The sequence below is a fragment of the Homo sapiens genome, chromosome 8 (genome assembly GCF_000001405.40).
Source record: "Homo sapiens chromosome 8, GRCh38.p14 Primary Assembly".
Classification (NCBI taxonomy): Eukaryota; Metazoa; Chordata; class Mammalia; order Primates; family Hominidae; genus Homo; species Homo sapiens.
The window spans coordinates 48,962,970-48,980,738 of record NC_000008.11 but is presented as its reverse complement, the minus strand read 5'-3'; the positions used below and the strand labels follow the sequence as shown (position 1 = coordinate 48,980,738).

Below are 17,769 nucleotides of genomic sequence, written 5' to 3'. Positions count from 1 at the left end.
ATGCAGATGCAGGAGCTTTCATTTTTCTTGAGATTTGATCTCTGCAAATAAAGATGTGCCTTTTCCACTTTTTCATGACATGTACAACTTTGAAGAATATACTATGACAATAAAATATTTGATTCTATTTTGCATATGGTCAGGCAATAAAACTGTCCTTGTCATCTTGGCTGAGAAACTTGGTTGGACAATACTGCAGGCTCTGGCCTGACAAGGGAAGTAAATGGGCAGAGACAACTTCTTGCAAGAAACTAATGTCACCATCCATTCTATTTTCGTGGATTGGGTGGATGGGGGAAGTGGCTACTCAACTCATCGTTCCCAGAAGGAGTCATAAAAGCAAAGATTGGGAAAGCACCTACCCGGGGTGAATCCTTATCCCTGCCTCTAACTCCTGAGATGCCTTCAAAGTTAGAGATTAAAGGCACTTTTCAATATGCCTGGTGATCGCCTCTTAGGAATAAATTCAGCAGCACATATTTGTGTCTGGATAAGGTTGAGATTTGAGGTTTCTTTCCCAAAACACAAATAACATTATGCTTAGTCTTGTTCGTCTGGAAAAAAAAAAAAGGACTAGGTATGAGGCTTGAGCCTGAAGCCCTGAGCTCATAATAAAACTTCTTTGCTGTGCTTACATTTTTCTTGTCCTAAATGCAACCACTCTAGTTAGCTGATTAGGGATTCAGAGATTTAGGATTTAGCCCTAGATAATAGCTGTTCCCTTGGGAACTAGCATCATGCACAAGCCATATGACCGCAAGTTTATTACTTAATCTAAGCTTGTTTATTCATCTGTAAAATGTGTTGTGCCAAGGCTTAATGAGAGAATGTTTGTAAAAGTATAAACTGCAATGTGCTCTGGTTATTAGTAACTTTTATAAAGTGGTTTCCACTTAGTTCCACATGAAGTGTTCCAAAATTGGATGATAGCAGTTTTAGCAACAGCTAAGTGTAATGAAGCTGCCTGGATATAATTCAGCCGTCTAGAACTTACTACAGGTAAAATGTCATCCTCACCAACTTTAAAAGTGCTTAATTATAATTAAGAGCCTGAAAATCAAGGCACTTCTTTTACTTGCCTCAGCAACGATGACAATTTGATGCTGGAATTATCTCCTGCCAAATATCTGTTTTCCTCTTTCTCTTCTTCATTATTCAAAAATAAAACGACTTTCTTGCAATTCCCTACATATTTACTTCTCTTGGAATTAAAACTGAAGAAATTACTGTCCCCGTTTTGTTCACACAAGCATATTTTGTTAGAAATACAGTAGTCATGAGTAAAGTATAGCAACACTTAAAACCCTGAAAACCAGATAAAAATGAATTTTTGGCTTGTGGAAACACTCAGACTGTTTCGAGCTCACTCATTTCCTGTTTTTTTCTCAAGACAAATCATTCATGTTTATAAAAATATATATATAACTGCTATATATCTGCAATAAAAGTTAAGTAAACAAATGCTGTATGTTCCCAATAGATACAACACAAATACTTAAAGTGACTTTATCTATCACAGCACAGACTTTTGGATGGAGGTAGTAGAAACAGAACCAGTTACAGAATCGGCTTGATTACAAGTGCATCCTGCCCTCTGGCGGCCAGTCCGCCTTCTATAGCCCTGCATGGGAAGCCTGTCGTTCTTCTGACAATGAATTGTTTCCCAAGTAAATGACAATCTTGAGCACATTTGTTTTCCAATAAATAAAAGCTTTCTAATTTTAACGTATCTTTTCATTACTTTAATTTTTAGGCAGGGTTACTTATTAATCTTTATTTTGTTTCTTTTCAAGAACGTCTTAAATTACAAATACTTTAAAATGCTTTTTCATTTCAAATATTTTAATTTTCTATTTCATACATTTTGTATATGAACACTTTCGTATATTTTATATATTTATAAAATAAGATAAGGTGTATTACCAGTATATACAATATCACCAGTCCTTTTGATGTATTGCATTCACCAAAATGGAGTTCTAATTTGCCTACTTTGAGTAGAGATTACAGAATAATTGAGATGGTGTTTTCTAAAACCATGACCTTGGGCAAGTATTTATTATGCCGTACTTTCACTTTCCTCAATTTCCTTCAAATTATGTACAACATTTACATAATCATTATAAAAATAGTATATATGTATATCACCTAGACCAGGCGGAGAGTGAGTCCGGCCAGGGTCCCGCGCCTCCAGACCCGCCACCCCAGACCTGCGCAGCGAGGTATCCCAGCACCTACTACATGCCAGGCTCTGGAATTCAAACCAAAACAACCCTGCCCTCCCAGAGCAGGCAAAGATGACCCAAATGCAGAAACAGAGGCTTGTCCGGGATCGCCCAGCCTGCCCTGCAGAGCTCACGTTGAAAGAACCAGGTGAGTCGAGCTGGGCAGAAGTTGGGAGGCCAGCTGAGGCCCCAGAGGCCCGGCCCTTCCAGTCCCGTCCTCGCCGCCACTCCCAGAGCCAGCGCAGCCTGGCCTTCCACGCCACCTGCGACGCCCGGGTGGTACGGCGGGCTTCCAGTTCAAGAAGGGTAGGCAGCAGCGGCCCACCCCGCCTCGGGTTCGAGCCCTGGGCGTCCCATCCGCGAGGGCTGCGCGATGCAGCTGACGCAGGCCGCCCAGGAGTTGCCGGGGGCTGGGTGCAAGGCTAGGTGCAGGGCCAGGTCGCAGTGCTGGCGAAGTGCTGGCGGCCTTGCCTGGGGGCTGCCCGCCCCAGCCCCGCTGGCCCAGTGCCTTCCCACCCAAGGAGAGCGCGGTGCCTTCTGGAGCACCGAGCCCCTCCCCGGCCGCGCGGCCACCTCCTGGCCCGGCCCTGCGCGGGCAGTGAGAACCGTCCCAAGTGCCCCTGGGGTCGCCAGGGAAACCGTGGTCAAGGCGAGCCCCATGTGCCCTGGGGGCCGGGTTTCGGGCGTAAGCTCTGAGAAGGTGCTGGATTCCGAGGAGGCCTTAGGACCATGTGGCTCAGAAGGCCCAGCCTCTGGGACCGTCGTGCCTGACGCTAAGGAGAGGTGGGGCCTGGAGGAGCCTTTGGAGCCTTAAGGACTGGTTTCCCAAGAATTGCAGCCCAGGCCTGGCCCGAGCGACCCCGTAGAGGCCTTGCGGGGCCCACAGCGCGCATAGTCACTGGGCCCAAAGATGATGATCTATGGCCTGAAAAGCAAATGCAGTCTGCACTGGTCCTTCTGGGTCCTGACAGGGCCCGCGGTGTGGGCGGAGAGGGAGGTTAGCGGTGGCCGCCATACCCGGACCTCACCCTGTCCCAGGAGGAACTGGGAGGAACCCAGGCCTAGGAGGAACTGGCCTGGCTCCAGACCACCCGCCTGCCTCCAGGAGCAGCAGGCTCGGTATTGCTCTGGGAGGCAGTGGCCCCCTGGCCTCCCCTGGACGCATCCTTCAGTCTCGTCCCGCAGGTCTGGGGCTCCTTGGGAGCTCTCCTGACCTCCAGTCCTGGGCTAGGCAGCCTGGCCCGAGCTGACCCTAAAACAGGCTCCTTCTGAGAGGGGAGGCCAAGAGTTGGCCCGTGGCCAAGAAGGCCCTGGCGCTGACCCAGTGGCAGAGAAAAAGCAGCCCAAAGCTGTGCATGGCTTCCGGAGGCCCCCTCCAACTGCAGGCAGCCCCTCGCATGCCCCCTTCTGGCTCACTCCACCCCCGGTATTCCTAGGGGAGACGGGGTCTCGTCTTGCTGCTGGCTGACCGCTGTTCCCATCTTCCTAGTCACCGCAGTGCCAGTTCTTCAGGCAGAGACAACCTCGGGGCTGGGACACCCGGTCTCACGTAGGTCCTGTTTACAGTCCTCAGTGCCCCACACCGGGGACCCCCTGAGGACACCTCTGCCTTAACCTTGATTTCCCAGAAGGCTGCCTCTTCGTGACGGACAGACTCAGCCCAAAGCCCCTTCCTTCTGTCTTTGGAGACCCTGGGCTTGGGAAATACGAAGGAAGTGTGGCTGGGGGCAGAGCATGTGTCTGCAAATCAAGGCCTTTGCTGCTTGCTGCTGGCCCAGCGGACTTAGGCTTCAATTTAAATTTTACTTCCGGTGAATTTTTTTTTTTCTGGCCACAAAGCTTGGTATTTTCACGGCTTTAGTTTCCTGTTGGCTGGTGGGAGGGGATAGGGTCTGTGGCTCTAGGCTTGGCCATGGAGACCTTCGGCGTTGCCGCCAAGGAGGAGGCAGCCTGGGCTGGAGAAGCACAGTTGCCGGTGCCGAGGCGTCTCAGGAGGGAGGCAGTCTGGTCTTTGCTTTATTCCCGGCAAGCTTTGCTGTCTCTGGGGCGTGCCTCTGCCGTCTTGGTAGGTTCCCCAGAGTCCCGAGTGGTGTTAACAGGGGTAGCGCCTCTTGTGTACAGGCTCTGGAGCTCTGGAGGGGATTAGGAGCTGCCCAGAGCCCAGTGTTCTGGAAGACTCAGCTGGTGGGGTGAGTCATTAACTGCGGTCCTGGTGCTGGTTCATAAACTCTAAAGGTGCAGTGGCCCTGGTCTCCCCTTACCAGAGCACAAAATGGCGTCAGGCTGCCCCTGGGGTTAGGAGGGGTAAGGAATGTCAGATAGCCTGGGAGGGGGATGCAAGGACTAAAATAAATAAGTCTGTCAAGTAAAAATATAACAAAATAATAAAAAAAAAAAAAGTTAAGTGAATGAATGAATTTAGCAAATGATGGTTGAAGATGGAAAACTTTTAGTATATTTCAGCATCTATATCTGGTTCAAAATGCTTTTTCATAGTCAAGATATTAGGTGTCTAATTGAAATAAAATAAAAATATGAATTTATGTCCATTGAAAGCAGTTGAATATATAATAGATATTTTCTTATTTTTTGTTTGGTTTCCATGGAAACTGGTTTGGAAGGTGAGATTAAACACATATAAACACATAAAAACTCTATGGTAAACAGTTTTTACCATACACAGTTACTTCTATTTGCAAGGCAGTTCTTCAGGTACCCCTGAAGTAACCTGCTTCTCTCCCATTTCTTGCTTGTAGTTCTCGAGAAAAACTGTAGAATGTGCTGGGAATACAGTGTCCTGAGGCAGGGAGGGTCCTGAGCCTTGCTCCTGTCCCTCCTGGGGCATGTACCATCTTGAATTAGGAAGGAACTGCCCAAGACTGTCCTTGCCTTGCTCCTCTATTCCCTGGAAGTAGGGTGTCCTTTAAAGCTTTGCCCAGCAAGTCACATTTCCCTTGAGGTAAAGAACCCAGGGCAAGCTGCCTTTCAGTGTTCCTCAGCTGTGGTGCAAGTGGGACATGCACAGTCAGGCTTCATCTACCCTAAGCAGCTTTCTTGAGCCTGGGGACCAGCTCAACATGGATCCTAGGCTTCTGTTGTCCCTCACTGCCTATCTGTAAGTAATAAACCCTCCTGATATAACTTACTGCATGCATGATCTGTCTTACCAGACTGAGATGTGGATGACCAGTGCACAGTGAGCCTGCTTCACTATTACTTCCATTTCCTTGACCAAACAATGTAGAAACTACCCAGAGAATAAAGGGCCTGGAGAATGAATATCTACAACTACATCTGCATCCACATCCACATCTGCATCCTCATGTATATCTACATATGCATCCACATCTACGTCTAAATCTAAATCTGAGGCCCAGCCATTGTGGCTCACGCCTGTAATCCCAGCACTTTGGGAGGTCAAGGTGAGTGGATCACCAGAGGTCAGAAGTTCAAGACCAGCCTGGCTAACATGGCGAAACCCCATCTCTATTAAAAATATAAAAATTAGCCGGGTGTGGTAATGGGCACCTGTAATCCTAGCTACTTGGGATGCTGATGCAGGAGAATCACTTGAACCTGGGAGGCAGAAGTTGCAGTGAGCCGAGATGGCACCACTGCACTCCAGCGACAGAGTGAGGCTGCGTCTCAAAAATAAATAAATTAATAAATCTAATCCTGCCTCTGCATCTGCACCTGTATCTACATCACTACATCTGCATCGGTCTCTACATCTACATTACAACTACATCTAAATGCATCTAAATCTGCATCAACATCTGCGTCTACATCTACATCCACATCTACATTGGCATCTGCATTCAGATCAACATCTAAATGTCAGTCTGAATCTGTATCTACATCTACATAATCTACATCTGCATTCACAGTGGCATCTGCATCCACAGCCACTTCCACATCCGCATCCCTGTCTACATCTGCATCCGTGTCCACATCCGCATCCACATCTAAATCTAAATCTGCCTCTAAATTTAGACCTGTGTCTACATCTACATCTGTATCTGCATCTACGTCTGCATCTGCATCCACATCCACATCTACAGCTGCATCTACATCTAAATTTGTATCTACATCTGCATCCATTTCAGCATCAACATCTAAATCTAAATCTGAATCTTCATCTGCATTGCATCTGAGTCTCTCTGCATCTGCATCCTCATCTACATCTACCTCTGCATCCGCATCTGCATCAGTGAATACCTCTTCTTCTGCATCTACATCTGCATCTGCATCCACATCTACCCCTACATCTGCATTTGCATCAGCCTCCACATCTGCATCTACATATCTACACTTATGAACTCAGTGATATTAGCAAATTGCCTTCAGGTAGAGTCCCTATCATTTGCATTTTTCCACTAAATGGAGACTGACTTGACAGAGCCCAGGGGACCAATCTTGGTTAACTTTGCATCCTCACAGAGTCTAACACAAGACAGATACATAGGTGAGATGTCAGATGCTCAGTGTGTATTAAAGTGCTCCTGTTGGACACTATACATGACTACTTATAACTTGAAACTACTAAATTAGCATCTACGATTTGTGATTTTTGTTAACATCAGCTTTCAATGGTACACTTGAAGTACAGGAAGAAGCAACTCACAAAAAAATCAGGGACACTCTTATTGTTAGGGTTCCTGGGACAGTACCCCCAGTGAGAACACTGCATTGCACTTCAGCCCCATTCATTGTTCAATCAATGGGCATTTATTCAGACCATACCATGTTGCAGACATTGGCTAGCCACTGGGCATGTAAGGACAGAACAACACTGTTTCTGTTGCCAAGGGTCTCTGATCTAGTGATGGGGGAAAATAAGTAAAGCAGTGACAAGTACAGCTATGGGCTAGGAAAAGACAGCCCACAGAAGGAATATCTAAGCTGAAATTCAGTACAGAGTATGCATTAGCCAGGTGAACATAGACTAGGGGAATGAACAGATGGGAGGGATAGTCCAGGTAGAAAAACATCACAGGAAATAATCCAAAGGCAAGAGAGAGCAGGACAAACTCAAGGAGTTAATTTATGGAACTGCTCAATCTGTCTGTATCACAGATGAAGACAGGGGTTTTGGTTGAAGCTATGTGAGAGGGAAGTATGGTGTGAACACGGGGCCTTTAGCAGCACCCTGGGATGTGGGGATTCATCCTAAAAGTAATGGAAATGTTTGATGCATTTTACGAAACAGCGACTTAACGATTCGTACATTTTTTTGAAGGATATTTTTCTCTATATTATCAGGAAAGGGGTTAAAAGAGGGGAATACTGAAAGTAGTGAGACCAACTGAGAGGTTCTCAATATCCCCAGTAAAGGTGGACAGTGGCCTGACCTAGAGCAGGGCGGAGGGCATAGGGAGACACAGGTGCAGGAAGAAAAACCACAGGTCTGGTGACTGGATGGGGAATGAGGGGGAGGGAGGTGTAAGTGAGGCTTCTCACTTGAAAAACCAGCGAAGTGCTATCAGCGCAGAAAGGGGACAGGTAGCACTAAAGGGGGCAGAAGACAACAGGATCGATTCAGCGTGGGTGTATGTGCGGGACTTCCAAGGCACAGAGTACACTGCATGCCTGGGTCTGACACTGGGGAAGAAATGAGAGCAGAGGTTCTGGTTTGTGGCCAACACCAGAGAGACAGCCCATGAAGGCTTGGGACTTAGGAATATGGCTTGGAAGGAATGTGCAGGGAGAGAAAAGTAGACAGCATCAAGAGAGTATTGGACGGGGAGAGTGAGGGGCCTCTAGGGACAGCCACAGAGTAGATAGTCAATACATCTTTGCTCAGTTTAACAGTTAATTCAAACGTTAAAAACAACCCTGTGACAAAGGGCTTTCAAACCTTCTTCAGAGCCAATAGTGAAAATTTAAAAAATATATTCATGAGAATGTACTGCACACAACAACAACAATAATAAATTAGACTAACATTTGAATCCAAGCTTAAAAAGGGCCAAACCATGTACGTACATTTAATCATGAAACCCATTGCAGATCTCAAAAAGATTATTATCTAAAAAGTATTAATTTTTTTTATAAAGGGCTCATATATGTCAATAAGCAATGATAGTCCCAATAAATCTATAGGCAAAGGACATACACAGACATTTCATTAATGATAAATAGTTCTAGTAATTTAAATATGAAAACAAAGACTTTAACCTTTCTGAGAATCAAATGCATTTTTTAAAAAATGTGCTGTAGTTTTTCACACACTAAGGAAACATCTACAGTGAAGACACTATCTGTCCATGATGACAGCAGTGTGGCTACGTGAACTCACTCATATACTCTATCTGAACACAGAACTTCGGTTTTAATATCTGAAATTTTGACAATTTGTATCATGAGCTATTGAAATGTTGATACCCTTCGGCATCACAATTTTGTTTCCAAGACTATTTTCTAATGGTATAATCCTAAATTCCATATCATCAAACATACTTATTATAGTACTATTTGTCACAGTGAACATTTGGGAACAACAAAATGTTGACAAACAGAAGACTATTAAAACACATTAGGATCTTTCCAGGTGATGGAATATTAAGTAATTATTTATAGTTTATGATCATGAGGATTGTTTAATTACATTGGAAAATCCTCAGGATGCAGAGCTAAATAGGGCAGAGCACAGTCTTGTCTGAACAATATTGTTGCAACAAAGTATTAAATGTGCACCCAAAATCTTTGAAAATTAAAACAAAATTTTAGTAAAGTCTCTCTTGTATTACTAAGAGTAATATATTTTTTTCTTTTTGTTTCCCAAATTTTTTGACAATATTTTGTCAATTCTAAAAGAACACTTTAAACAGCTTATCATTTACCAACATAATAAATATATTATATAGTAGCATATATTTTTAAGAATTCCCAATAATTATATTAGCTTTAGGGAAAAACATAATTGGAGTATTTAAAAGCTTGTCTTTTTCAGCTTTTAACAAAACATCTGATAAAAAACAATGGACCCAGAATACATGATATCACTGGGCTGCTTAATATGGGCATCGATTAATTTAGGATTTCTCAATACCTCAAAAGAGTAAACAGAACAAAATAACAAATAAAACAAAATTTAAAAGCAAAAATTGTTATTTTACAAAATTTTTCTGTTATCCAGCTCTTTGTGAAGGATGAATTACTTCATACAAACCACTCAGGGGAACCACTCAGGGAGAAGTCACAGAAGTGACTTCCAGCTGAAATCCACTGAGTAGTTTACTTGTTTGTGGAAAAGGAGAGAGAAAAGCCAAGTGCTAGTGGTTTTGTTAAACCCTACTTTGCATTCAACTGATAAGTTGAAAATAAATTAGAAAAGCGTTTGGGGAGCCCATTCTTTCCACACAAAACTCATATTCCTTCCAATGGGATATATGTACAAAGAATTAATTATTCATCCAATCTTCCTTGAACAACCATCAAAGCCAACCATGTACTGTACTAGCATTAGGGCTACAATAGGAAAGGCTAAATTTACTAAATCTAATGAAATGGTTTTTATTGTTTTCACACCACTTCTAAAACACCTCTCTGGGTAGGTGCATTTGTATTTGTAACATGGTTTTATTCCTGTAAAAATATTTTTTAAGTTCAAAATAAGCTCCCCCCCAAAGACTTAATTTAACTATGGAAAAAAATATGATCAGAATTAATTCTTTTTAGTAAAGTTCAGTAGTCAAAATACATGTCAGCCAGCCTTTCTGTGGAGAGAAGTTGAATATTTGACTAAAAGCTTTCCATTTTAGGTCACAAGGGAGTAATTTAATGTGCTGCAGAAACAAATGTATAAATGTCTTCACCTGAATGTGCCTGACTTTCTTTTGGGAAATAACTTAAATCTTGACAGAATTTAGTTGACTGGGAATAAATTACAATAAGAATTAATATATGACTCACTTTGGCAGTGACTCACCCCTGCTGTATATTGGGAAAGTGGGATGTAGAAAAGGTTGAGGGTTTGAAAGCAGAATGAAAACATGTCCCAATTCTGCTTTGTGACCTTGGAGAAGTTACTTAGCATCTTGTACACTAAATTCCCTCACCTGCACATTATTCATAATAATATTCCCTTTGAAGAGTTTCCTAAACTTTAAGTGAAATGATATATGAAAACTGATTTGCTCACAATGCCTCATCTTCCAATTTTAGTTATCTGCCTCAAACCAATTAACAAATTAAAACATACCTTTCCAGAGACCTGCTTCTGATAAGTGACAATTTATGGAGAGTGAATAACTAAATTTGGCAATGACTTAGTGGTACAAATTTGTTAATTTAGAAAAATATCAAGGCTAACAGGAAATTTCTCCCAAGGGGTTTTCCCAGATACAAATATGTGAAGTACAGCAGACATTATCTTCCATGAACAAAGCCAGAACATTCTCACGTTCTGTGTGTGTGTGTGTGTGTGTGTGTGTGTGTGTGTGTGTATGTGTGTCCCCTCTCAACCCACCTTTTGAAAATTCTTTTGAAAATATACTCTTTACATGAACTTAAAACCTTAATTATTTCAGTCTCCCCAAAGGTGTTTGTAAATCTATGCAAGATTAAGTTCATTATTTTTTTCCATTTGATAATTCTTAAAGTATGTGAAAACATATACAAAATATTTTTAATGTAAATTTTCCAGTTATTTAAACAAAATGTCCACACACACTGGAGGCATTCTAATTCATTAAGTTCCCTTCCAAAATCTTGCATACAGACTGGTTGTAAGACAGTAGATAATGTTCTAAAGAAGGAAGAACACCTTAAAAGTATTGCTAATGTGCCACATCATGGACACCATACCTCTGAATACATGCAGCAGGTTACCTTCAGTTTAGCCTTTTGTGGCAACAAAATCGCATATACTTATTGGGATAAATGACTATGTCCATATTTACTATTCCTGCAGTTGGTTTTTCCCTAAGTATATTTAACTTTTACATTTTTTACCTAGAATATTCAATAATGTAACTTATGGACCGTTGTTCCACTTTGCCAACATTTATTTAATAATCTTATTCTACATCCATAACATTATCTCCTACACCTGCCTTTCTATATCCACAAATGCAATAAACACGCATTCTTATCCACACTATGATGCAGTAACTTTGTGACTAGCTACTTATCCAGGAGGACTAAATTCATATGTCTACAAATAGATTTGTACACAAATGTTCACAGCAGATTTAGCTATAATAGTCCTAAACTGGAAACATTCCAAATGTCTACCAAGAGGTGTACATTTTGTAGTATATCCAGACAATAAAACACCACTCAACAATAGATAGGAACAAACATACAACAATATGGCTGAATCTCATTTTGACTCATGCATAGCCAAAAAGCCACACACTGTAAACAGTGGATACTGTAGGGTTCCAGTCAGGTGAGATCTGAGATAAAGGAAAACAAATGGATAATGATAGAACTCAAAACAGCAATTGCCCTTTGGTTGTAGGAGTAGGGGCCTGAGAGAGACTGGAGAAGGAAATGAAGGACTTCTCTGGGGTGCTAAAACTGTTCTGTATTTAGATTACACACCACACATATATACACACACACACCTCATACACATATGCACATGACACGCACCCTATACACACACACACACCACACACTGACTACCCATACACACATGATACACACCTCACACCTTCACACACATATGCATTCACTATACACACCCACACCATGCTTACACACACCATACACCATACACACACCACACACTGACTATACACATATGCACCACACACACATGCACACATACTCACCGCACACAAACACACCACATAGCCACCATGCACATGTACATACAAGACTACAAATAGACACACACCACACACATACACACATCACACATACCCATATACACACCACACACACTACACACACACCACATACACACAAAGCCAAAATGTATAGAATTGTGCAATTAAGGGACATTAATTGTATAGAAATTATATATCATTAAAGTTTATTGGTTTCTTTTAAATGAGAACAACTAAAAATTCATTACAGGTGGTTGAATAAGTTATGGTCTACTCATCCCACAGAATACTGCACAATAAGGGACAGGAGCAGCCCACAAGTCATATGGCCTTAGCACTGCATGGAGGGAGAAGAGCAAGCCCAGGGTGTTGTGTGCTTGTGCTCAGGAACAGGAAGACTCACCTGTGCACCAAGAGTACCTCCATGGCTGGAAGGATTACTGGGAAAGCACAAAGGAACTTCCAGGGAAATTGGAAATGTTCCTTATTTTGATCCAGATGTGGGCTTCCCAGGTAGATCTATTTCTCAAAATGTCTCCCACATGTCCTGAAGATTGGCACTTTTCACTGGTAAATTATAAATAGTAAATTAGATTCCAATAAAAATTACATTGAACAAAGAATAAGAGAAAATTTTAAGTTGTGATAGAGAAAGGGGAAATAAACATGACCTATATACTATGCTACCATTTGTAGGGGAAAAAAAAGAACGTTAAAGTTTATTTAAATGTGCCGAGACCAGCTTGGTCAGGGAGACCCTAACCCAGCGGCACTAGAAGAATTAAAGACACACACACAGGAATATAGAGGTGTGAAGTGGAAAATCAGGGGTCTCACAGCCTTCAGAGCTAAGAGCCCCAAACAGAGATTTCCCCATGTATTTATTAACAGCAAACCAGTCATTAGCATTGTTTCTATAGATACATGATTAACTAAAAGTATCCCTTATGAGAAACGAAGGGATGGGCAGAATTAAAGGAATAGGTTGGGCTAGTTAACTGCAGCAGGAGCGTGTCCTTAAGGCACAGATCGCTCGTGCTATTGTTTGTGGCTTAAGAATGCCTTTAAGAGGTTTTCTGCCCTGAGCGGGCCAGGTGTTCCTTGCCCTCATTACCATAAACACACAGCCTTCCAGCTTGGGTGTTAGGGCCATTATGAACATGTTACAGTGCTGCAGATATTTTGTTTATGGCCAGTTTTGGGGCCAGCTTATGGCCAGATTTTGGGGGACCTGCTCCCAACATGTCCCCTTCTCTGACTTGCAAATTGATAAACACAAAGGCAGCTTTGTCACGGTGAGCTACTTTTCACAGGAGTCAGGATCCACATCTGCAGACTACACAGAGACAAACAACATGGATTAAAAGCACAATCATCATTGAAATCACAGAGCTTCCAAGTGTTTTATCCATTTTCAGCTCCTTTAAGCACTCCAGTTCCTGGCATTAAGGTCAGGTGTGCCTGGGATGCTTTAAATATTTGTTCTTTTAATTTTAAATCCTTACATTAAGCTCCTGGAGCAGGCCATATCATTTGAGGTTGAGATGCCACTATACCGCCATGGTTCCAGATAATAGGAAATCTTGCCATACTTCTTATTATATCTGCAATCTGACCATTTTGTTCCGACCAGCTGAACATAGTGTGGTCATGGCACGCAGACTGAGAGGTGCAATTCAAGCTAAACATCCCCTTAGGGCTCCAATTAATAATGATTCTGTAGGAATCGTTGTGCAGCACCTCTGCCTGTTCTGCAATGCAATCTTCCTAAACAAGTATGTTCATTTTTTCTAACTGGGTCCAATCCTGTTTACAAATAGGTTTTTGAGGGCAGTATGCCTCAATTATAGGAGCAGATTTATTATGGTAAGTACTGAGATCAGAAAGCATGTGTAACTGTGTCATAAAGTGATTGCACCCAGGCATTATTGCCAGCCAAGATTGATAAATATACCCAATAAGTATGATTGTTCTCTGTGTCAGCCCTTATTGAAAGAATACTCACGGCAGTGGTGAAAATTGCTATCATAGCTACCATTAAATTACTCGTTGTGACTGGTTGTCCAGCTTTCCTCAGGTTTTCTTCCGCCATCTGTGACAGCTTCTTGATCTGTCCCCAGGTGGGTGGCTGTGATTGACAGGTGTTGCTTATGACAGTTGGGGTCCTCCTCAGCGTCAGTCTTGACATGGCTGAAACTGAGGGGTCCTTGGGATCCTCCCGGAATCTGGCTCATAATAAGATTTAAGGTGTCTTGATGGTATCCAAATCGGCTGTTGATTTTTGCCTGGAGAAACACAAGCATAACCTCTACCCCAAGTTATTATTTTACCTTGAGAATTGTATGGGATATCAGTAATGCGTTTAATATTCAACATAGAGAAAAATGTAGCCAGAGCTTGGCTAGTATAGCCTGGGACATTATCTGTTTTAATAGAAGCTGGAATGCCCATCACCACAAAACCCTGCAAAAGATGATGTTTAACACAGGCAGAAGACTCTCCTGTTTGGCGTGTAGCCCAGACAATGTGAGAAAAGGTGTCCACACATACATGTACATAAGCTAGTCTCCCAAATGAGGGAACATGTGTGACATCCATTTGCCAAAAAGAGTTAGGTTCCAATCCTCGAGGATTAACTCCTCCTGTAAAAGATGAGGAATGTACCATTTGGCAAGTTGGGCATCGCTGGATAATCACTTTAGCTTCTTTCCAGTTAATGCTGTATCTGCGTTTGAGACCAGAGGCATTAACATGGGTTAAATTGTGAAAATGTCTAGCATTAGATATTGCATTTGCAACTAGGCAATCAGCCATTTGATTCCCTTTAGTCAAAGGTCCTGGAAGAGGTCTATGAGCCCTAATGTGAGTGATGTAAAAAGGATGCATTCTACTCCTAACTGCTGTTTGCAATTGGGTAAATAAAGTCATCAGTTGTTCATCTGTATGAAATTGTAACTGAGCATTTTCAATTAACTGTGTGGAATGAACCACATATGAAGAATCAGAAATCACATTAATAGGCATATCAAAAGTAGTCAATACCTCAATTATAGCTACAAGCTCCACTTTTTGAGCTGAAGTATAGGGCATCTGAAAAACTTTACATTTTGATCCAAAATAAGAAGCTTTACCATTACTAGACCCATCTGTAAAACAATGAAAACACTTAGCAGGCTGCAGGTTGTTTGCTGCAGGAATTGTAAATGCAAACCATTCACAGTCTTGCTCAGCTAAAGAGATAATAAAGAAACAGTCTTTTAAATCAATGACTATCAAAGGCCAATTTTTTGGAATTATAGCAGGAGAAGGCACTCCTGGTTGTTATGCTCCCATAGGTTGTGTAACTGAATTAATGGCTCTTAAATCAGTTAACATTCTCCATTTACCTCATTTTTTCTTCATTACGAAAACTGGAGAATTCCAAAGAGAAAATTTGGAGCTATGTGCCCATTTTCTAATTGCTCAGTAACTAATTTCTCTAAAGCCTCCAGTGTCTCTTTACTTAGCAGCCATTGTTCTATCCAAATTGGCTTATCTGTTAACCATTTTAAAGATATAGGTTCTGGAGGCTTAACAATGGCCGCCATCAAAAGTTATTTCCTAATCTTTGGCGGAAACTTTGTTTTTCCACTTGAAGCAGTTCTTTCAAACCTTGCAAATTTTTTTCTAGTCCCATACCAGGGACATACCCCATTTCATGCATTGTATGTTGACTTTGAGGGCTATATAATTGTTCTGGAATTAGAACTTGTGCTCCCCATTGTTGTAATAAATCTCTTCCCCATAAATTTATAGGTACAGAAGTTATAATTGGTCAAATAGTCCCAGGTTGTCCATTGGGCCCTTCACAATGCAAAATATAACTACTTTGATATACTTCAGGGGCTTTACCAACTCCAACTATGTTAAATTGAGTGGATTGAATTGGCCACATGGATGGCCAGTGCTGCAGAGAAATGATTGAAACGTCTGCTCCTGTATCTACCAAACCTTTAAATTTCTTTCCCTGAATAGTTATTTCACAGGTAAGATGTTTATCAGTAATTTGATTTACCCAGTAAGCTGCTTTGCCTTGTTTATTTGTGCTTCCAAATCCTTCTGTTTGTTTAATTTCACTTTTTCCCGTTCCCACATAGGGCACAACCAGGAGCTGTGCTATGCGCTCTCCTGGCTCTGCTTTCCAGGGAACAGAAGTAGATACAACAATCTGAATTTCCACTTTATAATCTGAATCAATGACTCCTGTATGTATCTGTACCTCTTTTAAACTTAAACTAGACCTTCCTAAAAGTAATCCTACTGTCCCTGCTGGCAAGGGTCCACAGACTCTTGCTGGGACCTTTTGTGGGGGTTCCCCAGGCAGAAGGCTCACAGCTTTTGTGCAGCATAAATCTACTGCAGCACTCCTGGCTGTGGTGGGGGACAGACATTGTATGGGGGTGAGGGAATGGCCTGAGCTGGAAATGCCCCAGTTTAGAATGGGGCCCCGGATGGGCCCCTCATGGTGCTTCCCAAAATCAGGTTCCCTTCTTTATCAAACTTAGAGTGACACTGATTAGTCCAATGTTTTTCTTTTTCACATTTTGGATATATTTCAGGATCAGCAGTTTTCTTTTTTCCCCTATCGGTGGCCTGACTCACTGATTTTTTCTACATTCTTTTTTAGTATGACCATGCTTCCCACAGTTAAAACAAGCTCCAGGAAATGGAGTATTTCCTTTATCCACTCTCAGTCCTGCCATTGGCTATGCTAGCAGAGTAGCTTTATGCAGATTACCTCTGATACCATCACAGGCCTTGATATAATCAACTAAATGTGCATTCCCTCTGATAGGTCACAGAGCAGCCTGGCAATCAGGATTAGCATTGTCGAAAGCTAGTAATTGCAACACTATATCCTGAGCAGCCAAATCTGCAATCATCTTTTTAAGAGACTCCTGTAACCGAGATATAATATAAAAGTATGGTTCTCTTGGTCCCTGTTTTATAGCACTAAAGGAAGGGTATTGTTCCGCATTTGAAGTGATTTTTTCCCAAGCTCTAATGCACACTCTGCTAAGCTGTTCTGTGGCATCATCCTGCATGACCACTTGTGCATCTAAGCCAGCCCAGCCACCAACCCCTAAAAGTTGGTCTGCAGTTATATTAATTTGAGGTTGGGCCTGGGCATTGCAAGCAGCCTGAATGGAAGCTTCATCTGCCCATCAAGTTTTAAATCGTAAGAACAGAGCAGGAGTTAGACAAGCTCGAGTAAGAGTGTCCCAGTCAGTAGGAATCATCTGACTGGAAACAGCAACATTCTTTAACAGTCCCATTACAAAAGGAGAACCTGGTCCATACTGATTTATAGCTTGTTTAAATTCTTTGAGTAATTTAAAAGGAAAAGGCTCAAATGTAGCTACATTTCCCTGTTGATCTGGGGGATGTAGTCTAACAGGGAACTGCCAAGCCTCTAAATCACCCTCTCATCTAGGTTGCTGAATTCCTGCCAGAATAGAACTAAGAGCGGTCGTTCAAGGCACTGCTTGAACAGTCACTGGAGCAACTACTTTTTGCCCAGTGTCCTCTGGAAAAGAAAGATCTGGAGGGTCTTTTTCTTCAAAATAATAAGGAGGGGGTGCAGAAGGGTAGGGATGAACCTCCCCTTCCTTTGCCACTTTAGCTTTAGCTGGTAAATAAACGTGCTCTGTAACCTCTTCTGTTACTTCGCTATACTCTCATTCCTCCTCATCATCAGTGTGAAAAAGCTCCAAGGTGAAACGAAC

At 42.1% G+C, this 17,769-nt stretch overlaps 1 annotated feature.

The window, feature by feature from the left end:
• Window positions 1,509–1,668: a silencer, noted in NCBI's record as "silent region_19184". NCBI's record gives its function as "represses an Ori minimal core promoter by ATAC-STARR-seq in GM12878 lymphoblastoid cells {active_cell/tissue: GM12878}" and the evidence as "EXISTENCE:reporter gene assay evidence [ECO:0000049][PMID:35858748]".